This window comes from Homo sapiens, chromosome 2, assembly GCF_000001405.40.
Source record: "Homo sapiens chromosome 2, GRCh38.p14 Primary Assembly".
NCBI classification, from domain to species: Eukaryota; Metazoa; Chordata; class Mammalia; order Primates; family Hominidae; genus Homo; species Homo sapiens.
In genome coordinates this window covers 97,693,122-97,717,733 of record NC_000002.12, presented here as the reverse complement: position 1 = coordinate 97,717,733, position 24,612 = coordinate 97,693,122, and the positions used below count along the sequence as shown (strand labels likewise).

At 50.2% G+C, this 24,612-nt stretch overlaps 2 protein-coding genes across 16 annotated transcripts in view, besides 6 other annotated features; both read right to left on the bottom strand.

Annotated features, from left to right (window-relative positions):
* The window catches only part of ZAP70 (zeta chain of T cell receptor associated protein kinase 70), a 42,789-nt gene extending 38,631 nt beyond the window's left edge, over nucleotides 1-4,158 (bottom strand). For 6 of the 7 annotated variants that reach the window (XR_007081582.1, XR_007081583.1, XM_047445775.1 and 3 more), the window contains exons 1-2: nucleotides 4,060-4,158; nucleotides 3,740-3,818 (exon numbers count right to left, since the gene is read on the bottom strand). The gene's annotated coding sequence lies outside the window, so the exon portion shown is untranslated. Of the gene's footprint in view, nucleotides 1-3,739; nucleotides 3,853-4,059 lie in introns of those variants that run through there. The other variant, NM_001378594.1, reaches the window with a different exon arrangement.
* Nucleotides 1,115-1,629: an enhancer, noted in NCBI's record as "H3K4me1 hESC enhancer chr2:98332568-98333082 (GRCh37/hg19 assembly coordinates)". NCBI's record gives its function as "activates a minimal SCP1, AML or CMV promoter by ChIP-STARR-seq in primed H9 embryonic stem cells {active_cell/tissue: H9 hESC(primed)}" and the evidence as "EXISTENCE:reporter gene assay evidence [ECO:0000049][PMID:30033119]".
* Nucleotides 1,630-2,145: an enhancer, noted in NCBI's record as "H3K4me1 hESC enhancer chr2:98332052-98332567 (GRCh37/hg19 assembly coordinates)". NCBI's record gives its function as "activates a minimal SCP1, AML or CMV promoter by ChIP-STARR-seq in primed H9 embryonic stem cells {active_cell/tissue: H9 hESC(primed)}" and the evidence as "EXISTENCE:reporter gene assay evidence [ECO:0000049][PMID:30033119]".
* Nucleotides 3,377-4,350: an enhancer, noted in NCBI's record as "H3K27ac-H3K4me1 hESC enhancer chr2:98329847-98330820 (GRCh37/hg19 assembly coordinates)". NCBI's record gives its function as "activates a minimal SCP1, AML or CMV promoter by ChIP-STARR-seq in naive H9 embryonic stem cells {active_cell/tissue: H9 hESC(naive)}" and the evidence as "EXISTENCE:reporter gene assay evidence [ECO:0000049][PMID:30033119]".
* Nucleotides 6,324-6,513: a silencer, noted in NCBI's record as "fragment chr2:98327684-98327873 (GRCh37/hg19 assembly coordinates)". NCBI's record gives its function as "represses an EF-1alpha promoter that drives an FKBP-Casp9 reporter gene in an ReSE screen in K562 erythroleukemia cells {active_cell/tissue: K562}" and the evidence as "EXISTENCE:reporter gene assay evidence [ECO:0000049][PMID:32094911]".
* Nucleotides 9,438-9,996: an enhancer, noted in NCBI's record as "H3K4me1 hESC enhancer chr2:98324201-98324759 (GRCh37/hg19 assembly coordinates)". NCBI's record gives its function as "activates a minimal SCP1, AML or CMV promoter by ChIP-STARR-seq in primed H9 embryonic stem cells {active_cell/tissue: H9 hESC(primed)}" and the evidence as "EXISTENCE:reporter gene assay evidence [ECO:0000049][PMID:30033119]".
* Nucleotides 9,997-10,557: an enhancer, noted in NCBI's record as "H3K4me1 hESC enhancer chr2:98323640-98324200 (GRCh37/hg19 assembly coordinates)". NCBI's record gives its function as "activates a minimal SCP1, AML or CMV promoter by ChIP-STARR-seq in naive H9 embryonic stem cells {active_cell/tissue: H9 hESC(naive)}" and the evidence as "EXISTENCE:reporter gene assay evidence [ECO:0000049][PMID:30033119]".
* Nucleotides 14,668-24,612, bottom strand: part of C2orf92 (chromosome 2 open reading frame 92) — a 39,126-nt gene continuing 29,181 nt past the window's right edge. For 6 of the 9 annotated variants that reach the window (NR_038386.2, XM_024453105.2, XM_024453109.2 and 3 more), the window contains 3 exons: nucleotides 18,598-18,708; nucleotides 16,430-16,580; nucleotides 14,668-15,065 (listed from right to left, as the gene is read on the bottom strand). Coding sequence is in view for 8 of the 9 variants with exons in the window: in XM_024453105.2 (XP_024308873.1) it covers nucleotides 14,933-15,065; nucleotides 16,430-16,580; nucleotides 18,598-18,708 (395 nt within the window). In the remaining variant the exon portion in view is untranslated. Of the gene's footprint in view, nucleotides 15,066-16,429; nucleotides 16,581-18,597; nucleotides 18,733-24,612 lie in introns of all 9 variants that reach the window. The other 3 variants (XM_024453106.2, XM_024453110.2, XM_024453111.2) reach the window with 1 other exon arrangement.

Genomic DNA, 24,612 nt, shown 5'->3' with positions numbered 1-24,612 from the left:
AAAAGCACATTAAAGGCTCCGAGAAGACCACATGGAAGGACCTCTTTCAGCGTCACTTAATTCCCACACCTATTCAGCAAAGCCTTGAAGGTCTACTGTTTCACAGAACATTCCCTGGGCATCAGAAGCCCCCATTACATGCCCATCGTCAGAGCAGAGGTATCACACCAAAGCCACTGGACCTGGTGGGAGCGGGCAGGAGCAGCACAAGCTCCACATGTCCCCCCAGCCAGAGGCTCCACGTGTCCCCCCAGCCAGAGGCTCAGAGGCTCCTCGTGTCCCCCCAGCCAGAGGCTCCACATGTCACCCCAGCCAGAGGCTCAGAGGCTCCGCATGTCCCCCCAGCCAGAGGCTCCGCATGTCTCCCCAGCCAGAGGCTCCGCATGTCCCCCCAGCCAGAGGCTTGACATGTCCCCATCCAAGGCTCTGCAGGAGCAGGGCCCCAGCCCCTCACCGCCCCACCTCCTCCTACTGCCCCCCCACCACCCTGTTCCCACTCCAGCTCCTGGCTCTCTCTCTCTGAACCCCTAGTCCTCACCTGAGACCCTAAGTCCCTCTGAAGCCATGTTCCCTGCTCCTTAATCCCCCAGCTGTGCTCGGGCCGCCTGTGCCCACCAACAGAGGCAGCATAGGCACTGGTCGTCAGCACACGCCAGCTTGGTGACGCCATGAGCCACACAGCCGCAGTTAGCCATGGCTGCAGGCTCCTCCTTCATATGTCTTTCCTGACTGCAGGGATTGGATTCAAATCATGGAATCGTGGACCCACCACATGGTCACAGTGCAGCCTCAGCAGCGAGTGAAGCTCGCCAGACCTCCTCCGGAAAGCAGGGCCAGTGAAGGTGTCCAGCACTGGGGCTGCAGGGACTCCCTGGGGTGAGACTTGCTGGCCCCCGTCATGCCATCACATCCTCTTCTCTGCTTGAAGCCCTCTAGGCTCCCACCTCACTCGGGGTGAAAATGCAAGTCCTCAGGGTGGCCCCCAAGGCCCTTCATGATGCCCATCACCACCCCCCGCCACTCACTCCCCTCCAGCCACACGGGCCTCCTCATGTTATTCGTTCAGGTCCCTCGGACAAACCAGGCATGGTGCAGCCTCAGGGCCTTTGTACTGTCTGTTCCCTCTGCCTGGAGACTCTTCCTCCAACACCTTCCACTTTATTCAGGTCTCTGCCTAAGTCACCTCCTCCAGGAGGCCTTCCCTGACCTCCCTCTCCAAAATAGCCTCTCCTTCTCTCTCTAGCCCTGACCCAGCTTTGTTGTTCTTCACCACCTAAAAGATGATATTGTATCTATTGGTGACATAGTACCTTTGTCCCTGCCAGAATGTAAGCACCACGGGAGTGGAGCCTTTGTCTTGTTCTCCTACCTATACCAGCATGGCACAGAGGAGGTGCTCAATATACCAGGTACCTACAAAGGTCTGCAGTCCACTGGGATGGGTGGGGATGCCTCTGAGCACCGGTGGAACCTGACACCTGGGAAGGGGTGAGGGGCCACAGGGGCTTCCTTGGGTGGAGGATGGCGGGAGAGGAGGGGCCCATCCTGAGGATCCTGGCCACAGGCTATTCCCTCAGCCCAGAACTGCGCTGCATCCTTCTACTGGGCCTCCGGCTTCAGGCCTCCTCCGTTGTCCCATCCTCCCAGAAGCATTCCATGAGCCCTGCCCCCTCCCCAGCCTGGGTCAGGCACCTCCCCTAGGCTTCCAGGGTCCCCATCCTCCCACATCACAGCCCTGATGGCCTCTGTCTCTGCTCCTCAGTCCCTCACCAGGCTGAGCTCCCCGAGGCAGGGCCCACGGCTCTGTCTTGTTTTCTATGGAAGCTCCTGCTTCCTCCCCACAAATATTTGTCAAGTGTGTAAGGACAATCACAACAGCCTCTGTGCTGGGGACTGCACTACCCTTTGCGAGCATTAGCCATTTATTCTAATTCTCACCACAACTACATTTGGTGGGAACTGTTATCCCACTCCTCAGCTAAAGAAACTGAGGCTCGGAGAGGTCAATGTCACTCTCAGAACATGCAGCCTGCAAGGGGCCACCAGGATTTGAACTCAGGTCTGTCCAATGCAGCAGCCAGCACTAACCACTCCAGCAAATGTCTATTAGGAGACCCTGGAGAGCTGGGCTGGTGCGGGGTCAGGGTCAGATTCCCCAACCCAGCACACTCTCCAAGTGTCTGTTGATTGAACAATGCCCTTCCACCGCCCCTCCAGTGAGGCCCCCAACTCCGGCCTCCACTGCCTGTGTGACCTCAGCAAGCAGCGGTCCCTCTCTGGGCCTCAGGCTCTGTGACTGTAAAAGGGAGATGGGAAAAGGCGGTGTGAGTCAGGAGGATAGGGGCTGATAGAGACAATGGAACAGGGTGGGACTGTCCTGGGCCTTGTAGGCTGTTCACAGGATTCCTGTCCTGGACATGCTGGATGCCAGTAACACCCGCTGGGTCACAACCCAAACTGTCTCCAGGCACTATCAACTGTCCCAGGGAGACGGGAGGAGGTAAAATTGGCTCTGATGAGAATGGCTGCCTTAACCCTGTACCTTGGGGTGGGGCAGGGAGTGGTCAGCACGGGGTGGTCTGGGTGCTGCAGCCCCGGAGAGCATACAGGAACTGTGGAGTCCAGAGCCCGAGGCCACCCAGAGCTAGTGAGGATAATGAGGGTTTTAGTGAGACCTTTCTGCAGCACCTGTATGTGCCGGGCAGTGTGGATACAGTCACTCTCTTTATCCTCCCGAGAGCCCTGGGAGGGAAGCACAGAGAGATGCGGTGACTGGTCCAGTCACACAGCTGGTGAGTGGCAGAGCCAGAATGTGAAGCCAGGCCCCCAGGCTCCAGAGTGTGCACATCAACACCACCCCCGCAACACTGCCAGGGCAGTGGGGCTGAGGATGGAGGGCAGGTGTGAAGAGGAAAAGGAAGCTCTGGATTCAGCAGGAGGCAGCTTCACAGGTGGCACCTTAGGAGTCCCTGACCCTGATCTCTCAGCAAGGCATTATTAAACACCTCCTGTCTGCCTACTGTTCCAACCAAGACGAGAGTAATGAATCATCTCGAGCTGCTCACCTCATGAACTCCTGTTCCTTCCTGTCGGGGATGCTTCCTACCTGGGACACATTTCCCAGCCTCTCGCCAACAGTCAGGAACCAGGCGCCTGCCAGGTGCCCATATCTGCATGTGCATTTAACAGATGCACAAACTGAGGTCAGAGAGGCCAAGCAACTTGCCGAGAACACACAGCAGTTGAGGAGAACTCGGTGTTTTGCTCTTTCTCTCTCCAGGTCTTCCTCTAACCTGAGCTCGCCTACAAGTGGCTCAAGCCTGCCCTGGACTCCTCACAGGAATCACAGCATTCTGCTGATGGAGCTCACGGCCCTGGTGAGCAGCCCCCTCATCTTCACAGAGTGCACATGCGCTTTCTCTGGAGGTTTCTCTGCCTCCGAGAGCCAAGGATGCAGCCAAACAGGGCCCAGCAGGAGCCCAGGGACTGAGCAGGCCTCACCGTGTCCCCTGAACAGCCCCGCTCGGCCAAGCCTCTGGAGGGGGAGCTGCTTCCCTCAGCGTGGCCACAAGCCCCGTCTGCCTCCATCTCCAGCCAGTCACCACCCAGCCCAGTCCTCCAGCTCTCCTGGTCCTCCCAGCAACCTCCTGACTCCCAGTTAATATTCTGTCTTCCTCCTCCAGACACAGCCCACCATGGAGACGGTGGCCAGGTGCCACTCCACCCAGGCACCACTTACCTGGGGACGTACAGGTGGATGTCCAGGCAAACAGGCCACTTGCGGGGTCTCTGGTCCCAATGCCAATGGAGAGCCGGTTCTGGGTGAGGAATCGGGGCTTACAAAGCCGGTTTGGATTTCCCTGCAGCCCAAGCCCCCAGCCTGAGAGGGAGGCCCTGCCGCTCACACTCTCCGCACACACCCCGGGGGAGGATGTCACACCCCGCCAGGGTTTCTCACTCATGGATGGGGGGGGTTCATCCTCTGCCAGGTCTCCCAGAGCCCCCTGGGGTGGCCCTGGTGGCAGGACACAGGCAGAAGGCCCGAGGACAGCCGCTTACCTGAATGCCCCAGCAGCAGCTCTGAGGCCCACGGTGGGCCAGGCCTGCCCGGAAGGCCTGGTGTCTGCTGAGCTCCGGCAAGCAGGCTTGTCTGAAACTAACCTATTTCCTGGATGCGAAGACAGGAAAGGGGGCTGTGTTTGATGTTTACATCAAAGTCACAAAGTGCTGTGCTCAAGGAAAATCACAGGCCACGTGCTCCAGGGAGGCAGAGGGCATTTCCGGGGCCCAGCACTGCCTGCCCAGCTGCAGGATGGGACTGAGAGATGGGAATGAGGCTAAGCAAAGGCAGGGTTTCAGGAAGGACGACTCCAGCAGCAGGAACCGTCAGAAGGGAGGAAGCCTGCATACCTGGAACCGGAGGGTAGGCAGCAGTGGTGGGAAGGAGGGGAGTCCCAGGGCTCATGGAAACTGGAATGCCCCCATTTTCCCCTCAAAGGGGCGTCGCCCTGGGGCCTGCACCAGCTAGACAACCCAGAGGAGTGATTTGTTTATTCCACAGGCAGGTTAGAGCTGGAGGGAGGAGAAACCCACTGAGTCAGCCCATACCCCGAAGGTGAGAACCCCTTCTGTGCCAGGCATCTGGATGGCAAGGACAGCCTGCCCTTGCTCTCCAGTGGCTCGCAGGCTTGTTGGGGGCAGCTGAGTCCACAGGGAGCCAGGGCTGGGAGGCCGGAAGCCTGGGCACTGTGTGTCCCCAGAGTATCCCCAAGCCAGCCTGGAGGATGTCAGGGATGCGTTCCAGGAGGAGTCAGCCACCCAACCGAGACACAGAGCCAGGGCATCCCCAGTGCTAGCCCGGCCCACCTGGGACCTTTCCCACGAAGCTGAACCTGGCTGAGTGCCATCCCGCTGTGGCCACCACCTCCTCCTCCTCTTCCTCTCCTCCCTTCCCTCACCCTGTGCACCCCCTACCCTTGGGCCTGGGGCCACACCTCATGCACTCTCTCAGAGAGGGGCCTGCAGAGCCACTCCCTCGGCTCCATCTCCCCTCTAGTGCCCCAAGGCCTCTGGGAGCCCCTTGCCCACCACCTCCTTGCTTTCTTGGGCACTAAGGGAGTCGTCACAGCTCTCCTGTCTGTGGGGCCTCAGAGACCTGTGTGGAACTGCCCTGGGCCCACTGTGGAGACTCCTAAAGCTTTTCTTCTTGGGGTCCTGCTGCCCTTGTTAAGTGGGCTTGTGATACCCTACCTTGTTTTAACCTGAATTGACTCTCCCTTAGCTAAGAGAGCCAGACAGACTCCATCTTGGCTCTTTCATTTGCAGCCCCTTACCCACCCCGCTTCCTCAAGGACTTAATTTGTGCAAGCTGACTCCCAGCACATCCAAGAATGCAATTAACTGATAAGATACTGTGGCAAGCTATATCCGCAGTTCCCAGGAATTCGCCCGGTTAATAGCACCCAGAGCCCCGGCGTTTGTGTCCGGTTGATAACGCCCAAAGCCCCGTGTCTATCACCTTGTGATAGATTTTAAGCCCCTGCACCTGGAACTGTTTGCTTTCCCGTAACCATTTATCCTTTTAACTTTTTGCCTGCTTTACTTCTGTAAGATTGTTTTAGACCCCCACCTGTCCTTTCTAAACCAAAGTATAAAAGAAAATCAAGCCCCTTCTTTGGGGCTGAGAGAATTTTGAGCACTAGCTGTCTCTCAGTCGCCAGCTAATAAAGGACCCCTGAATTCGTCTCAAAGTGCGGCGTTTCTCTGTAACTCGCTCGGTTACAACAGGCTCAGCTCCCCAGTCTGCCTGAGGATCCCCTCACACCCTACCCCGAAGCCTCCTTGGGGACCTCCTTTCTGGCCCTCTACTATCCTCTGGCCGCCTGAATCCCCTTTAGAAAATCTGAGTTCCGGCTCTAGGCTACTTTTCTCCTTCATACAGCCCCCTCCAAAATGGTGTTTGCTAGCAGCCTCCCTTTTCCCCAGCGGCATCTTGAAACTCCAGGTGCAGCAAGCATCCCTTCACATCCATGCTGGACGCTCATTTCTTGGAGTATTGAGAGAAAAAGACACCGGCACCCTGAAGAGAGGAGAAATTACAGCATCAAATCACATTCATACTACAATAATGAGAGTCGCACTGATTATGTGCCAGACATTGCTGTACGCACATCACAATTAATAAGCCATTCAACCTATTTTCCAGATAAGGTAAGTAAAGCCCAGAGAGGTTAAGAGATGCCAAGTGGCCAGGTGGGATTGCAGCCCAGGCAGCCTGACCCCACCCACGTGCTGCTGGACATAAAAGAAGAAAACTTTGGTTGTAAAATATCTCCCCGAAGGAGGCCAGCGCCCCAGGGAGCTGGAAGCTGAGCCAGCTATGGGACAGGGTGCCTCTGTGTGGGTGGGGGGCTTCCAGTTTCCAGGGTCTTCAGGTCCTGAGAAGGGGATTCCCAGCCTCTGCAAGGCACTGGCCCTACAACCCTTGAGCCCCCCACTTCCTGTCCCAGAGGCTGGTCTGGAAACTACAAAGCCCAGTGCTCAGACAGCTCTGAGATTGGGCTACAGATAATCCGAGATTGGCATGCAGATAAGGTCCTCTGTTCTGCCAGAGTGGAAGGAGGTGGATGCATCTTTTGAATGTTTACAGTAAAGGGCAAACGGATGGAAATGTGGGCTAGGAAAGTTGCGGTGCCTTTGCCTCATCGGGTTGGGGTAAACATTCACTCTACTCATGCCAAGAGCCTCGAAGAAATTCATCAGTCACCCCCATATCCTCAGGTCTTTGCCCACACCTCTTCACCTGCCTATTTCCTAGTCCTCTTTCAGGTCTCCAATTAAGCGTGTTTTCCTCCAGGAAGGCTTCCCAATCCTCAGACCGGGCAGGGATGGGCTTTCTGTCCATTTCACCTGGAGCTGAGCAGGTCCAATCTGGCTGCACAGTTAAGAGAACACAAGCCACTGCTGGGAGACGTGCAGCAGGGAGATAGGGTGGAGGCTCCAGCAGGCCCGAGAGGAGATACACCCCAGTGCAATGAGCCCCAAAGGAAACAGGTCCATCCAGGGCCCCTCCTGGATTCCCTCTGGGTGTACAGAAAAATGGTGACTTTTTTTTTTTTTTTTTTTGAGACGGAGTCTCGCTCTTTCACACAGGCCGGACTGCAGTGGCGCTATCTCGGCTCACTGCAAGCTCCGCCTCCCGGGTTCACGCCGTTCTCCTCCCTCAGCCTCCCAAGCAGCTGGGACCACAGGCGCCCGCCACCGCGCCCGGCTAATTTTTTGTATTTTTAGTAGAGACGGAGTTTCACCGTTAGCCAGGATGGTCTCGATCTCCTGACCTCGTGATCCACCCGTCTCGGCCTCCCAAAGTGCTGGGATTACAGGCGTGAGCCACCGCGCCAGGCCAAAAATGGTGACTTGTATCTCCTTTCCTTCTGGTTCTTTTCTGGTTCTGCCACTTAACCCTGAGGGACCGTGAGCACGTTACTTAGCCTCTCTGCGCCTTGGTTTCCTCCCTTAGGAAACGGGGATAATGGTACCTGTCTTGTAGGCTGTTGTGAAAGTTAAAAGAGGCCTAAAGGCAAATGCTCCATTACTGCTACCACCACCGTCATCTCTCATGTCTAGTGACTGCGCGTCCGAGTGCAGCAACGGGATTCCCTTGCGCCCTCCAGGGGCAGCTCTCCAGTATTGCAGGCTGCCAAGCACAACTCAGGCGTCCCTGAAGGCTGAAAGTGACCACCGCCCTGCCCTGAAATAAAAAAAATTAATCCAGCTGGTTTAAGTCAGAAAAGAATTGCTTGACCACAGCAGCCACATGCTGTGCTCTCCCCTGGGGGCTTCTCAAGTGGATGGCTCCTTCGGAAGCCTTCAAACTGCCATGGCACTGCCACCTCCTGAGACCCCTGGCTACTTATTTATTCAATACTGAACACCCGTTCTATGCCAGACTCTTTTCCGGGTACTCTGTTCTATGGATCCGCAGTGAACAGCACATGAAAATCTCTTCCCTCATGGAGCTGACATTCTAGTGGGAGAGACAGAGAATGAACAAAATAGATAAATATTTCATAGAGTATGTCACATGGTTACAGGTGCTAAGGAGTAAAATAAATCAGAAAGGGTAGGCGAGGTCTTGAGCATGTAATTTTGAGCCAGTCAGGGCATGCCTCGGAGGGGATAACCTGTGAATCAAGACTTGAAGGTGGCTCACGCCTGTAATCCCAGCACTTTGGGAGGCTGAGGCAGGCAGATCACAAGGTCAGGAGATCGAGACCATCCTGGCTAACGGTGAAACTCCGTCTCTACTAAAAATACAAAAAATTAGCCGGGCGTGGTGGCGGGCGCCTGTAGTCCCAGCTACTCGGGAGGCTGAGGCAGGAGAATGGCGTGAACCCAGGAGACGGAGCCTGCAGTGAGCTGAAATTGCGCCACTGCACTCCAGCCTGGGTGACAGAGTGAGACTCCGTCTCACAAAAAAAAAAAAAAAAAAAAAAAAAAAAAAAAAAAGACTTGAAGGAGATGTAGGAGAGAGCCACGGAGATACGGAGATATTGGGGGAAGAGCATTCCCAGCAAAGGTCTTAAGCAGGACTGTGTCATCTGTGAGGTAGGAACTATCTTGTTCCCAGCTGCGACCCCAGCAACTGGAGTGGTACCTAGCACAATAGTACTCAATAAATATTGCATGGATGGGTGAAAAAATCCCACATATGCGCTTCAGGAACAGCTTGCTCTGGGCTCAACTGATGACCCCAAGGTTGTTGGCTTCATTCTCAGACAAGGTTTCTCCCTATGGTCCAAGAAAGTCACTCAGCTTCAAATCCTATTCAAGGAGCAAGAATCTATTTCTCGATATTACCGGAAAAACCCCCAGCACAGCTCATTGGCTGAGTAGATCACCTGTCCATCCCCCAGCCAATCCCTGACGCCAGCGGATGGCATGGGGACGTGGCTTAGGACCAGGTCACATGCCCCACCCACAGCACACTCTGGAAGGAAGGAGTGGCTGGAAGGAGGAGAAGGGATGCTGGGTGGGCAAAGCGCTGAAGTCTTGCAGAATATTCATAACAGCTTAAATGCATCTATTTCTTTCTATCAAGCACGACTGCGTGCTGGCCCCAGCTAAGGTACATTTAACGCTCACAACAGCCCCAGCGAGTAGTAGATTAGCCTCATTTTACAGATCTAGAAACTGAGACCAAGAGGAAACTTAGGCTTGAAATTCCACAGCTAGCAAGTGGGGAGCCTGGGACCTCCTGGCTCAAAGGGAGCTTGGAGCTTCCACAGGGCTCCACCCTGAAATCCCCTGTGCTATCAGGGTGACTGCCGTCATCCAGCTAGGGACAAGCAGGCTGAACCAACCCTGAGCTAAAGCTGCAAGGCCTTAGCGTGAAGGCAAACTGACAGCGCAAAGGCAGCCACCTCTTTGATGAAGAAAGGGAAATGGAAATGCTAGTTCAGGGCAGCTCCCAGGGGCCCACAGGCCATGCGGGGACTGTTGGCAGAGGCTATAGGCGCTGATAGGGCTTGTTCCTCAAATGCAAGCCCAGGGTAGAGGTAGGAGGCCAGCAGAGGGGTGGGCTGCCTCTCAGGGCTGGGGTCCCAAGAAGTTGCCATGAGGATGGGACAAGGGTGCATGTGCAACCTGTTGAGAATTCAAGGAAAATCTGGTATGCTTGCTGTGCCTGCTGTATGCCCAGGCTGGGGCAGCTGCATCTCCTTCCAAGCGCAGAGGACCCCAGCCACCTGCTGCCCTACAGCCACCCCACATCCAGCCCAGCACAGGGCCTGGCACCCGGCAGGTGTCCAATAAATGTTTGCTGCTGAACGGACCACCCAATGGCTCTGTAAAGAGGGTAAATTATCAGCCTCATTGCCAAGAAGAGGAAGCCAAAGCTCTGAGAAGGTCCAGGCAGGACAAGTATTGAAGCCCAGCTGGACCCAGCTCCCCAGCACCATGCCTGGGAAACTCCCAGCGTTGTGAGGGCCGGGCAGGCGAATGTCAGGTGGCACAGGCCACACCCCAGTTGCTGGCATTCCTCTCCTGGGGCACCTGCCCTGGCGAAGCACTCAGAGACCTTTGGACAGCTGGCAGGTCCTCCGGGGTGACCAGGGCCCCACTCTCCCCACCTCCCCGCTGGCTTCAATCTGAGAAATGGAAAAGGTGGTGCTCATCTCATAGCGAAGGGGCTGGAGCACAGATACCAGGGCAGGCTCCAAGGTCAACCCCCAGTGGAGAGCTCTGGGAGGGCCACATGGTGGGGTGTACCTGCCCACCAGGGCACTGTGCCTGGCATGGGGAGGTGCCCAGTAAGTGCTGACTTGAGCAGAAACCAGTTGGTAAGTTACACCCGTTGTTGATGCTGCTGATGCTGGGGAAGGAATGGGCTCTCCCCTCCCCCAGCTCTCCACGCAGCCACCCATTCCCCACCCAGTTCTTCTTCCCCACCCTCTTGGAACAAGTGGGCTGAACCAACCTCTTGGGGCTCATTCCTGGCCCATCAGTACTTCAGTACTCCCTCCCCTCACCCTCCTCCTTCTAACACCTCCTCCTACCCCCTCCTCCATTCAAATCTCCCACCCACCACATAGTTCCCGCTTCTCCACTTCCCTCCCCCCATTCCTCTACCTTCCTTGTCCCCACTCCACTCCCTCAGCTTATTCTCCCCACTCTCTCCACCTTATTCTTCCCCACCCACACCATTGTCCCTGCCCTCCTCCCTTCTCCTATCCCGGCCCTCATCTCCCTCATCTTACTCTACCCCTTCGTCTCTGCCACCCCATTCCGTCACCCCGCAGCTGCCCTCCCCCCAGCCCCCCAGTGCTCCCCCTCCACACCCCCACACCCTGAGCACCAGGCCGGGAAGGTCAGGAGGGGGCCCTGCAGGCACATCTGGGGATTTTGGTAACCCTCCTCGGGAAGCGCCTAACTGATGCCTCCTCTCCTCTGCGCAGAGGGAAGCGGCTGCTGGGATAGACAGGAAGGGGTCTGAGCCTCCCAAGGGCCAGAAAGGCAGAAGTGCATTGCGGGTGCAGTGAGTCCTCACTTAGCTCACTGAGAGGTTCTTGGAGACTGCAACTTGACGTGCAGTAAGGAAACCAATTTTCCCATAGGCTAACTGCTATAGACAAGAGGTAAGTTCCTATGGCATATTCCCGGTCACGAAAACATCACCAACCATCTACATAAGGACCCCAAATGCGTTAATATTAAACATTAAAATAATTGTGAGCTATACATACCTTTAAGAATGATTACTAAAAAATAAGTCAGATCATGATTTCTCCACTTACACAGTTCAGGGTAGCAGGGGCCGGAGCCCAACCCGGCAGCTCAGGACAGCGCAAGGTGGGAACGAGCCCCAGCCAGGACTCCATCCCCTCTCAGGACACACTCACACACACCCACGCTCGCTCACGCTGGGACACTGTAGACACGCCTATGCACCGATAGCTTTGGGATGTAGAAGGAAACGGACTTCCCGGAGAAAATCCCCGCAAACATGGGGAGAACGGGCAGGCTCCACACAGACAGTGGCCCCAGCCAGGAATCAGGTTTGGTTTTTTTTTCTCATCACCATTACAACCAAATGACATTGAAAAAAATGGGCATGGTGGTGGACGCCTGTAATCCCAGCTACTCAGGAGGCTGAGGCAGGAAAATCGCTTGAACCTGGGAGGCGGAGATTGCAGTGAGCAGAGATCGCGCCACTGCACTCCAGCCTGGGCGACAGAGTGAGACTTAGTCTCAAAAAAAAAAAAAAAAAAAAAAAAAGGCCGGGCAGGGTGGCTCACACCTGTAATTCCAGCACTTTGGGAGGCCGAGGTGAGTGGATCACGAGGTCAGGAGATCAAGACCATCCTGGCTAACACGGTGAAACCCCGTCTCTACTAAAAATACAAAAAATTAGCCGGGCTTGGTGGCAGGCACCTGTAGTCCCCGCTACTCGGGAGGCTGAGGCAGGAGAATGGCGTGAACCTGGGAGGTGGAGCTTGCAGTGAGCCGAGATCCTGCCACTGCACTCCAGCCTGGGTGACAGAGCAAGACTCCGTCTCAAAAAAAAAAAAAAAAAAAAAAAAAAATGACGTTATTATATTAGAGGAGCTGCTGTCCAAATGTCCTAAGCAGTCGGGGGATCCTTGAGAATGAGACAAGCATCTGGACTGCGACTCTTGGTTCTCCAAGCCCCTGATTTGGGAGGTGGGCTGGGGTGGGCCTGGGAGCCAGCTCTGTCCAGTACATCAGGCCTTCTGTGGCTACAGCAGGACCAAAGTCCCAAGACCACTAACTGGGCAATTTTTAACTAAATGGCCTAATGTGGTGGAAAGAGTTTTTCTAGGGATGGGCTGTTTTTCCATCTTGGCAAAGAACTGAGCAGAGCCTTCCAGGGCCACCTCGTCGTCTTCACTCCCCACACAAATAGGTCCAAAGCTCTCAGGTCCTAGCTGGACCGCCTCTGAGCTACTCCTGACCACCCCTTCCCCTGCCTTTCCTGAGGCCCAGCTCCCAGAGCCCATCCATGAATGGAGAAGGTAGCCAGGAACCCTTCAGACGCAACAGTTGCCCCCAGGAACCTGCAAACCTGCTGACCACAAGCACCAGGGCCATAACCCACATCCCTTGATTCCCTAAACACACTCTCCCATGCCTTGCAGTGGCCCTGGGCCCAGCCCAATCAATCTCACGTACTCTCAAGACTCAAAGTATCAGAAAAAGATTGTGTGGCCATGTATTCATTTCCCAGGGCTGCCATAACAACCACAAACCGAGTGGCTTAAAACAGCAAAAATTTATTCTGTCACATTCTGGAGGCCAGAGTCTGAAACCGAGGTGTTAGCAGGGCTGCAGGCCCCTCAGAGGCTCTAGAGAAGAATTGTCCCTTATATCCAGTAGATAGGCAATAACAAGTGCTGGCGAGGATGTGGAGAAAAGGGAACTCTCATACATTATTGCTAATGTATGGAATGTACGTTAGTACAACCACTATGGAGAACAGTTTGGAGGTTCCTCAAAAAACTAAAAATAGAGCTACCATACAATCCAGCAATCCCACTGCTGTGTATATACTCAAAAGAAGGGAAATCAGTGTATAAAAGAGATATCTGCACTCTCATGTTTATTGCAGCACTATTCACAATAGCCAAGATCTGGAAACAACCTAACAACAGTCTATCAACAGATGAATGGATGAGGAAATGTGGTACATTTACACAATGGAGTACTATTCAGCCATTCAAAAAATGGTCATTTGCACCAACATAGATGGAACTGGAAGTCATTATGTTGAGTGAAATAAGCCAGGCACAGAAAGACAAACTTTGCATGCGCTCATCATTTCTGAGAGCTAAGAATTAAAACAATTGAATTCATGGAGATAGAGAGTAGAAGGGTGGTTACCAGAGGCTGGGAAGAGTAGTGGGGGTGGGGGAGATGTAAGGATGGTTAATAGGTACAAAAAATAAAAGAATGAATAAGACCTAGTATTTGATAGCACAGTAGGGGGACCACAGTCAATAGTAATTTAATTGCACCTTAAAAATAACTAAAAGAACATAATTGGATTGTTTATAACATGAAGGATAAATGCACCAGGTTTTGGATACTCCATTCACCCTCACGTGATTATTATGCATGGCATGCCTGTATCAAAATATCTCGTGTACCCCATAAATACATACCCCTACTATGTACCCACAAAAATTAAAAGTTAAAAAAATCTCTTACTACTCTATATATCCTCCTACTAGTTCTGTTTCTCTCATGGGACCCTGACTCATCCAAATTTTGGTACTAGAAGAGAGGAACAGAATCTTAAATCTATTTCCAGTGGCCAAGAGGGCATTTAGGTACTCCATGGCATGATGTGGCAATAGAGATATACAAAATATTACCATTGGATACTCTCAATCAAACACATATAAAAGGCAAGGTTCTGGGTGCCCACGTGTTTGATGATATCTGAGAACATTTTAATTAAACTGAGGAGTATGATATTGGCTGGTTGCTGGAGAAAGTGGGGAAAGAAAGGGATGAGTTTAGCCTTTCACATTCTCAGCTTAAACTGTGCATAAATGAACTGAAAACTTCTATGGGCCGGGCATGGTGGCTCATGCCTATAATCCCAGCACTTTGAGAGGCCAAGGCGGGGGGATCACCTGAGGTCAGGAGTTTGAGAGCAGCCTGGCCAACATGGTGAAACTCCATCTCTACTAAAAATACAAAAATTAGCTGGGTGTGGTGGCACGCACCTATAATCCCAGCTACTCGGGAGGCTGAGGCAGGAGAATCGCTTGAACCCGGGAGGCGGAGGTTGCAGTGAGCTGAGATCACGCCACTGCACTCCAGCATGGGTGACAGAGCAAGACTCCGACTCAATAAATAAATAACCCCACTTCATGACACTCTCAATTACCCCATTTCTTTGTGCTGGTCACGCAAGCAGGAAATCACCTCCTGGGGCGCTCCCACAATTCTTAGCAGTTTCTTTGCAGATATAATACTTTCTGTACTCCCACCTCCCATAAAAGCTATTTAGTATGGTTGTGCTCACACCATGGACTGTGATCTTGCTCGGGGAAGAATGCATGCCTGGGTCACTGTTAGTTTCCTCATTGTATTTTGATATTGTCAGCATGTGAGGTGGTCTATTAATATCTGTTCAATGAATGACTGAAAAAATGAATCAATGCTTTATTAAATGATAAATCCATAGTCTGTCGGGTTCACCGACGCCAGCCATCGGTGCCATATTGCCACAAGTGTCCTATGGTAAAGCAGTTTTTCTTGGTCCATTCAAATTGGGATGGGAAGCAGACGTTTTTGTAGAATACACCTCCCGGGCAGAAATGGAATTGCCTCCCTGTGGTGCGCAGATGGAGAATGTCCTCGCATTGTGGTTTCAAGTCCTGGTTTGACGGCCCCACGACCTGGCTTAGACACAGGAGCTGCTCTTCAACTGTTTCTGTTTTTTTGCAAGTTTTGTGAAATTTTTTTCTTCAGAATTGTGCCACCATGTCTTTCCATCCATTATAAAAATATTATATGTCGTGTTTGCCAGAGGAGATCTAAAACAAAATAACAAAAACCACAGTGCTCAGCTCAGCGCACAGGAGTCCTGCTGTCTACTCGCTGGGCAGTGGTGGAGGCTGACGCTTCCCAGCGTGAGGATTCTGCTTCCCATCAGTAAGGTTTGTCATCTGTGAAATTCTTTTTGCCTCTGGGCAGCACAGAGCCTCTGGGATACTCTCTTCCCCCCAGTTTCTCTTAACTAACTCAGGCCACCCACAACTTTGACTGGTCCCTATGGGAGGGGCCACAGTTCTGACCACTTCTGCTGGCATCTCAAGGGGCATGGAGGGAAAATGGCAGGTCCAATGGATGAGCCTTGGTAGGAAGAGGATGCTGGAGGTGGGGGTTGGGGGAGGTGGCCTGAATAAGTCACCAGTTCCAGGAGCCTTGGCATGGAGAGAAAGCAATGCCACTCTTGTGGGGAAATTCAAACACTGCTACCTCTGGAGTCAGAGGGTGGGTAGGGGTGGGGATGGACACTTCCCCTCAACACACACCTCCACCCCATTGCTCTAGGGGCAAGCTGAGCATTCAGTGCAGTGTCAGGCAGGACTGAAGGGCTGTGGGGAGCTGCTCTTCCTTCTGTGGTCAGGAATACATGTCCCTGGGGACGCAGCAAGAAGCACGTAATTTCAAAATGCAGCTATGCATACACGTCATCGTGCAAACCATTTGCTTCCTAGCGCCTGCTCATGGTGAGTGCCTCTGTGCCTGAGCCCCCTCATCTAGAGGCCTAACCAAAATATTTAACAACTGGTGTAGACGGGGGTGTAGACAGGCACTGACCAGTCAAAATGACCACCACTGAAGCAGAGCCTTGGAGGGCCACGGCTGTGCCAGGCACTAATCCTTCATTTGCAGGATCACGGAGAAGATCAGGAGGTCAGTGGGAAGCTCGGGGAAGGCTTTCAGTATTCTAACAAGCAGGACAGCTGTGCCAATGTGAAGGAGCTGAATATCAGCCCTGCTCTCACTCTCCTTCGTGGCTTCAGCCCTCCTCACCCTCTTAGATTTGTATTTTTCCTTTCTTTTGTAAATCCATATTCCTATTTACCAATCTTTCAGCCAGAGCCCTCAATATGGGGACAGGTCTGGCCTAACCGTAGTGGCCTTGAGAGGCAACCCTGGCCCACCCAGGGATCCCCAAACCCGGCTGTGCATCAGAATCACCCAGGCTGTGCCGAAAACCCATGGCCCAGGTCCTGTGTGCTTTGACAGAGCAGGCCAGGGGATGCTGAAGCACAACCAGGCTTGCAGCTTCTGCCCTCCTCGTAAACCAGATCAGCAGGAAGCCCTGAGGGCAGCGTGAGTTCTAACACCCGCGGGTTCTTGGAAGGAAGGTTATGCCAGCACCACGCACGATGGCTGTTTCTTCCTGATGTATGAGGCCAACCCAAGCAGCAACAGCACGATGGCCATGAGGATGGCCACCCCTGAGACGGCGGCGATGATGGTGTTCCTCTGCAGGAAGTGCAGAAGCTGCCCGCAGGGCATAGTCCTAAAGTGAGCATCTAAATGAGAAGACACAGCGCAGAGTGAACAGAGATACCCACCGGGCTACCCACAACCAGGACTAAGCCTGCAAGGGACACCTGTTCATTCCATTCATAACAGAATAGAAACCTTGGCATCTCGGCCGGGCGCGGTGGCTCACGCCTGTAATCCCAGCACTTTGGGAGGCTGAGGCGGGCGGATCACGAGGTCAGGAGATCGAGACCATCCTGGCTAAGACGGTGAAACCCCGTCTCTACTAAAAATACAAAAAAAATTAGCCGGGCGTGGTGGCGGGCGCCTGTAGTCCCAGCTACTTGGGAGGCTGAGGCAGGAGAATGGCGTGAACCCGGGAGGCGGAGGTTGCCGTGAGCGTGAGCTGAGATCGCACCACTGCACTCCAGCCTGGGCAAAAGAGTGAGACTCCATCTCAAAAAAAAAAACAAAAAACCTTGGCATCTTAGCCACTGGTTCCAGAAGTCCTCTTGGGAAGGAACTGGCTGTTTGGGGAAATGCATTCATATGCATTCATCTGCTATTTGGCGATAAGATGGGATGATTTTGGGGGGTGGAGATGAGACACTGAGGATACGGGCTGGCATGCAACAAAGCAGCCAGAAAGAAAGTTCCACAGACAATTTGTAGGAGGTAAAGAGAAGAACAGAGGAGAGCTCAGATGGGTAGGAGGAAGCAGGGGCACTAGAGGAGGTTGAGAAATCCTACTGCAAAGGATTTTAAGAACAATGGAGGCGAACACTCTGCAGCTTTTCACAGGGCAGTGATATAACCTCTTCTCTGCTTCCCCTCCTCTGCCCCCTGGCCTCAGAAAGTTGTACTGCATACACAATCTGCCTCGTGTGTGTAGGTTTGGGAGATTTCATGTCTGCACCAGCACGAGGCAAACACAAGGCCACAGATGATCCTGAGCTCCTGAGCCCCTCTGAGGACTTACAGAAATTGTGAGAGTGGACGGAATACCACTGAGCACAGGCTGGGGAAAACGCGGCAGTCTTAGCTAGATCTCAAAGGAAGGAGATCTCAGCCGACATTAGTGTCTCCTAGAGCTTCTGTCACCCCATTTATAATGTGACCAAAAAAGAAAAAGACATCAGGGAAATCAGGCATGGAGGTATGATCCCAGGTATCGGCTGGTTTCGTGTGGAGAGCTGCCCAGGGCAGCCGGTTATGTAGACAGCAGAGTGCTGAGCAAGGGTCTTCTTGGGTGATGGGGAGAAAACAGGGCATGTCCAGCCTCCTACCTTCAGCTATGCTATGCCAAGAGGCAGCGTATCCAGCAGCTCTAAGGCTCTGCTAGAATAATTCAGCATTTAATTTCTAAGCATTAGGAAGTGACAACCAGGTATAATTTTGACAGGGAGTGGCAGTGTGGAGGGGTGTACTGCACTTGGTACCAGCATGGGTGAGCTTCTGCCCACTCTAAACAGGTCTGGGCTCAGGGATGAGCGAGGGTGAAGCCCTGGCTGTATAGAAACAATATAAAAGTAGCATCTTTTTGGAAGAGTGGTGAAATTCCCGGAGTTGGGTTTTTATTTATTTATTTATTTTTTTAGATTGAGTCTCGCTCTTGTTGCCCAGGCTGGAGTGCAATGGTGCAATCTCAGCTCACTGCAGCCTCCCCCTACTGGGTTCAAGTGATTCTTGAACTGCCTCAGCCTCCCGAGTAGCTGCGATTACAGGCACCCGCCACCATGCCCAGCTAATTTTTTCTTTTGTATTTTTAGTAGAGACGGGGTTTTACCATGTTGGCCAGGGTAGTCTCTAACTCCTGGCCTCAGGTGATCCGCCCACCTTGACCTCCTAAAGTGCTGGGATTACAGGCGTGAGCCACCGTGCCCGGCCTCTGGAGTTGGTTTAATTCATAAATTTTAACTGCAGGTTGTATTCACTGCAGATTTAATTCACTTTAGCGGGTGAATTAAAGATGTCAGTTAAAATACCATGAAAGGCAAAAGACACATTCAGAAGTTGTCCGTATTTAAGCATCATACTTAGTTTATAGGCCATATAGATTCCCACCTGGTTTAGCTGCTCCTTGAAGTGTTTCTTTATCTATAGTAGTTAACTGCTCTCTTAAATCCCTGTCGAACAGACAGGATTCTTTAAAATTCTTCTCCTCTGAAAGGTGATCTACAAAAGATAAAATGTGTTCATCTACAAACAACCATGGCATGTGATTAGTTCAGCGTTTATGATAAAAGTAGCTTCTTCTAGACTCAAAGTGAGGAGTTAGGGAGGACTTGGGGGAAAAGTCTAAATGTCCTACAGAACCTCAGTGTTTTGGTGTTTTATTGTTTTTGTTTACTTTTTAAAAAATCTAACAAATTCCTGGGCAACCCACCCATAGCTGAGGCAGCATTTCTTACACTCGAGCGTGCATCTGAATCACACTGGGAGGGCTTATGAAAACACAGATTCCTAAGCCCCACCCCAGAGTTTCTGATTCCATAGGTCTGGGGTAGGCCTGGGAATGCGTATGTCTCACAGATCCTGAAAGACGCTGCTTCTGTGGGTAGAGGACCACACTTAGAGAACCTCTCTAAGCCCCAGCCTACTTCTCCACTTGCATAAAATAGAGATAATGAGACCTACTTCACAGATTGTACAATGTTCATGAAAATAATTTTTAAAACACGAAGTACTATAAAAATTTTCTTGAGTTGCGAGGACAAGATAGGAAAATTAACCACACTGAAATATTCAGGTATCAGTAGAGGGATTGCAGAATAGTTTAATAGAAAGAAGACAGTCGAAAATGAGAAATATTTGCATCCTAGCTCTGCCCTTTGGTGCCTGACTCGTTTGCATATGGGACCTGTCAAAGGGCCTGAGTTTAGCTTGGAGAAAATCGGGAGGCCAGCATGGCCTGCCTATCTTTGCCAGATGCAGGATGGCCTGGGAAGAGGCTGAGAGATGTTTTGAGAAGCTCTGGGGAACAAACTAGAACCAATGGGTAGGCGCTCCAGGGAAATCTGTTTGGACTGTTTAGCATTTAGAAGGTGAGCTATCAAAGAGGGAATGGGAAAGGATGAGAAGTAATGAATCTCACACCCCGGAAGACTTCAAAGCAGGCTGGAGCCCCCAGCTCCAGATGGGAGACCTCCAAGAGCTGGAAGTGGGGGCGGGGCAGCTTTGGATGGGTTTGGTAAATCTTCCTTGGCCTTGTTCACAGAGAGATAGAGAACTGTCACAATAAGAGTTTGCGACCAGCCTGGGCAACATAGCAAGACTTCATCTCTACTAAAAATAAAAAAAAAAAAATTAGCCAGGCATGGTGGCGCACACCTATAGTCCCAGCTACTAGAAAGGCTGAGGTAGGCAGATGGCTTGAACTCAGGAGATCAAGGCTGCAGAGAGCTATAATCACACCTCTGCACTCCAGCCCAGGTAACAGAGCGAGACCCTGTCTCAAAAGAATAATAAAATTAAACAATAAAATAAAATAACAGAAAATTATCACAATATGATTAAGACCATCATGTGGGTGTCTGATAACAGTCTCATGAAGTTCTAGGTATTCCTGGAAAAAAGAGAGAAATTTGTTCCTTATTCAACTTGGCTTAGAAAAGAGAGAAAACTCCCAATTTAATAAGACTGATAATTAACTTGACTTTTGAAATGCAACATGTCAAATCCGACTCAGATTAATAGCCACAGACAGAAAGCCCTGGCGAGCATGGAGTTATCCACCAGGGGGCGCGCTTGGCTTGGTCTTCCACAGAGCTGCAGCAATGGTAGACCTGACACGGGAACACATTTTCACTCTCTTTCTCTACCAGAGGCAAGAGCCACTGCCTATTCTTATCGTCAGTATGGACGTAAGTTTTCATTTACCTAAGGTTCTTTGAAGAATCTGAAGGCGTCTTTTATGTTTGATGGTTTGTGTTTGATCATTTCTTGGATTATTTTTTTGTGGGAAAAAATAAGCACAATTATCAAATTTTTGACCAACACAGTTTCATTTCCAGATTTCTTTCCAACTTTAGAACTACTAACTATGACAGGAGCAGCCACCCATTACAAGAGCAATTCTCCCGTCCTTCCATGGTGTAGGCTCAACCCAAGCTGCCAATCAAGCATGTGCTGGGCTTGGTAAAAACCTTCTTAAAGGAGTGCAGAACCAAGAAACTCTGACTTTGTGCTCAAGAAAAAGTTGAAGTCTTTCATCTTCATGATTCTCTATGTTTTGGAGACTCTAACATTGACGTGAGCCTTTGATTACATGTTAATAGCATGTTATTGCTAGGACTGATGCTATGTTCCATTCAGTGGACCTATGATCATCAGTAGCTACAGCTGCTGTCCACAGACCTGGGCACACCTTTTAAAAGACACTTCACTTCCCAGAATGGTCATTTCCCCACTCCTCCTCCTATCGAGATGTTTTCGACCATTGGTTTTTTTGTTTTTTGTTTTTTGTTTTTGAGACGGAGTCTCTGTCCCCCAGGCTGGAGTGTAGTGGCCCCATCTCGGCTCACCGCAACCTCCACCTCCTGGGTTCAAGCAATTTTCCTGCCTCAGCCTCCCAAGTAGCTGGGATTACAGGGATACGCCAGCACACCCAGCTAATATTTGTATTTTTAGTAGAGATGAGGTTTCACCATGTTGGCCAGGCTAATCTCGAACTCCTGACCTCAGGTGATCCACCTGCCTCGGCCTCCCAAGTGCTGGGATTACAGGCGTGAGCCACCACACCCAGCCTTTTTTTCTTTTTTTTTTGAATGGTCACTACTGCCAAGGAGGAGGTGCAGACAGTGTGGTCTGGAATTTACTGTCCCTGCAGAGTAGCCTGAGAGCAGCTCCCACCCTCTGAAGATGGATCTGATCAGCCCCCTCAGCTGGCAGACGTGAGCTTTGTCACTGCCTACAGTTCTTCTCAGCCCTCTTCTTCCCTCACTCTTCCTACTTGGAAAAACCCTATCAAGGAGATCAGCCTCTTGTTCTCCCAGAACTCCGTGCGATTACAACGTAAGCACTTTTTAAAGACCTTCAATGTTAGCATGTTTATATCTAATAGTTATTTACCGATTAGATTGACTCTCCTAAGAGCTGTGAGCTCTTGGAGGACAAGAATGCCTCACTGAGCTCTCTAGCTTCCAGCACAGTGCTTCCCACTGGGTAGGACAGATCAGTAGTTAGGTCTTGAGTGAGAGAATGAATCTGGAAGAATCTTGACTGCAACCTCATGGGGGACTCTGAGCCAGAACTACCCTGCTAAACCTGTCTTGCTAGGCAAGACTGCCGGGCATGGTGGTGCGTGCCTGTAGTCCCAGCTACTCAGGAGGCTGAGACAGGAGAATTGCTTGAATTTGGGAGGTGGAGGTTGCAATGAGCCAAGATTGCGCCACCGCACTCCAGCCTGGATGACAGAGTGAGATTCCATCTCAAAGAAAAAGAAAAGAAAAGAAAAGAAAAGAAAGAAAATAAAAGAAAAAATGTTGTCCTGGCTTCTCCTGAAGGAAAAATAAAGATTTGAAAGTAAAATTATGTTAAAGCAATTGACTGAAGAAACAGTTTTAGAAATCAAAAGATCAAGCTAGATAGTAGGCTTTCTATTCCTCAAGCATATCATTTAATTTTACTTAAACAATGATTATTCAGGGGTGAAGGTAAATTATTCAGGGGCATTTTTTATTCAAGGGTGAAGATACATTATTCAGGGGCTGAGGTATCTTGGCACTGTAATATACATTCCTGGGCAGACCACACCTAACATTTGCAAAAAACCAGCACAAGAATTTTAATAGGTTAACAAATGGTACTAGGAAAACAGGATATCATATGCGAAAGAATAAAGTTAGAGCCTTATCCAACACCATAAACAAAAATTAACTCACAATGGACCAAAGACCTAAATGTAATACCTAAAACTATAAAAACGTTTAGAGAAAAACATAGAGCAGAAACTTCATGACATTGGATTTGGAAATTATTTCTTGGGTTTGATACCAAAGGCACAGGCCACCAAAGAAAAAACAGACAAATTGGACTGTATGCAAATTTTAAAATTTTGCGCATCAAAAGACAGTGTCAACAGAATAAAAAGGTACCCCACCCAGGATGGGAAAAAACATTTGCAAATTGTTTATCTGATAAGGGAATGATACTCAGACTATAGAGAGAACTCCTGACACCCAACAATATACAAAAATACAAACAACTGATTCAAAAATGGGCAAAGAACTTGAATAGATATTTTTCCAAAGAAGATATACAAATGGCCAATAGTACTTGAAAAGATGCTCAACATCACTAATCATTAGGGAATTGGCGAGGATGTGGAGAAACTGGAACCCTTGTGTGCTGTTGGTAGGAATGCAAATGGTACCGCCATGATGGGAAACAGCATGGCGTTTCCTCAGAAAATTAAAACCAAAATCATATCATCCAGCAATCTCACTTCTGAGTATATACCCAAAATACCTGAAAGCAGGGTCTCAAAGAATTATTTGTACATCCACGTTCATAACAGGATTATTCACAAGGCTAAAATGTGGAAACAACCCAAATATCCATCAAGGGATAAGTAAGTAAACAAAACATGGTAGATACATACAATGGAATATTACTCCGCTTCGAAAAGAAAGGACATTCTGGGCCGGGCATGGTGGTTCACGCCTGTAATCCCAGCACTTTGGGAGGCCGAGGCGGGCGGATCATGAGGTCAGGAGATCGAGACCATCCTGGCTAACACAGTGAAACCCCATCTCTATTAAAAATACAAAAAAAAAAAAAAAAAATTAGCCGGGCGTGGTGGCGGGTGCCTGTAGTCCCTGTAGTCCCAGCTACTGGGGAGACTGAGACAGGAGAATGGCATGAACCCAGGAGGAGGAGGTTGCAGTGAGCCAAGATCGCGCCACTGCAGCCTGGGCGATAGAGTGAGGCTCTGTCTCAAAAAAAAAAAAAAGAAAGAAAGAAAGAAAGGACATTTTGAAATATGCCACAACATGGATGAACCTTGAGGACATTATGCAAAATGAAATGTCAGTAACAAAATACTGTATGATTGCACTTACGTGAGATATTTATAGTCAAAATCATACAGAAAGTAGAACGGTGGTTGCCAGGGGATGCTGAGATGGAGGAATGGATGGTTATTATTTAATGAGTATAGAGTTTTGGTTTTATAAGATGAAAAGAGTTCTGGAGATGAATGCTGGTGATGGTTGCACAACATTATGAATGTATTTAATACCACTGAACTGTGCCCTTAAAAATGGTTAAGATGGTAAACTTCATATTATGTGTATTGTATAATAATTTTTAAAAATTGAAAAAGAATACAAATGGAGAAACACCTATCATATGTATCAATAATTAAAAGTTATAAATCATGGCTCAGTCTACATATCTATACAAAGACCTGCTGCTTTCTTGGTGGCTAAAGGAACCCCAAGGCTCCTTCCAATCCCCTGCCACTCTGAGTGACAGCACAGATGTGCTGAAGCAGAGAAAAAGCTGGGCCCAGGCCCAAGATTCCTGAGCAGTGACTGGACTCTCCAAGCCTCACTATGACCAAGTAGAATTTATTCTAGGAATGTAAGGTTGGTTTGATATTAGGAAATTCATTATTATCATATATATAATCTTAATAGACTTAAGGAAAAGAATCATATGATTAGTTCCAAAAATTCAGCACCCATTCTTGATTTTTTAAATATGTAATAACAAATGTTAACAAGGATGTGAAGAAATGGGAACTCTTGCACATATTGGTGGGATTGTAAAACAGTGTAGCTGCTATGGAAACAATATGGAGGTTCCTCAAAAAATTAAAGATAGATTTACCATATGACCCCACAATCCCACTTCTGGATACATATCCTAAAGAATTGAAAACAGGATCTTGGAGATATTTGCATACCTATATTCATTGCAGCATTATTTACAATAGCCAAGATGTGAGAGCAACCCAAGTGTCCAACAACAGATAAATGGATAAAGAAAAGATGGTATATATATACAATAGAATATTATTCAGCCTTAAAAAGAAAGGAAATTCTGTCATATGCTACAACATGCATTAACCTTGAG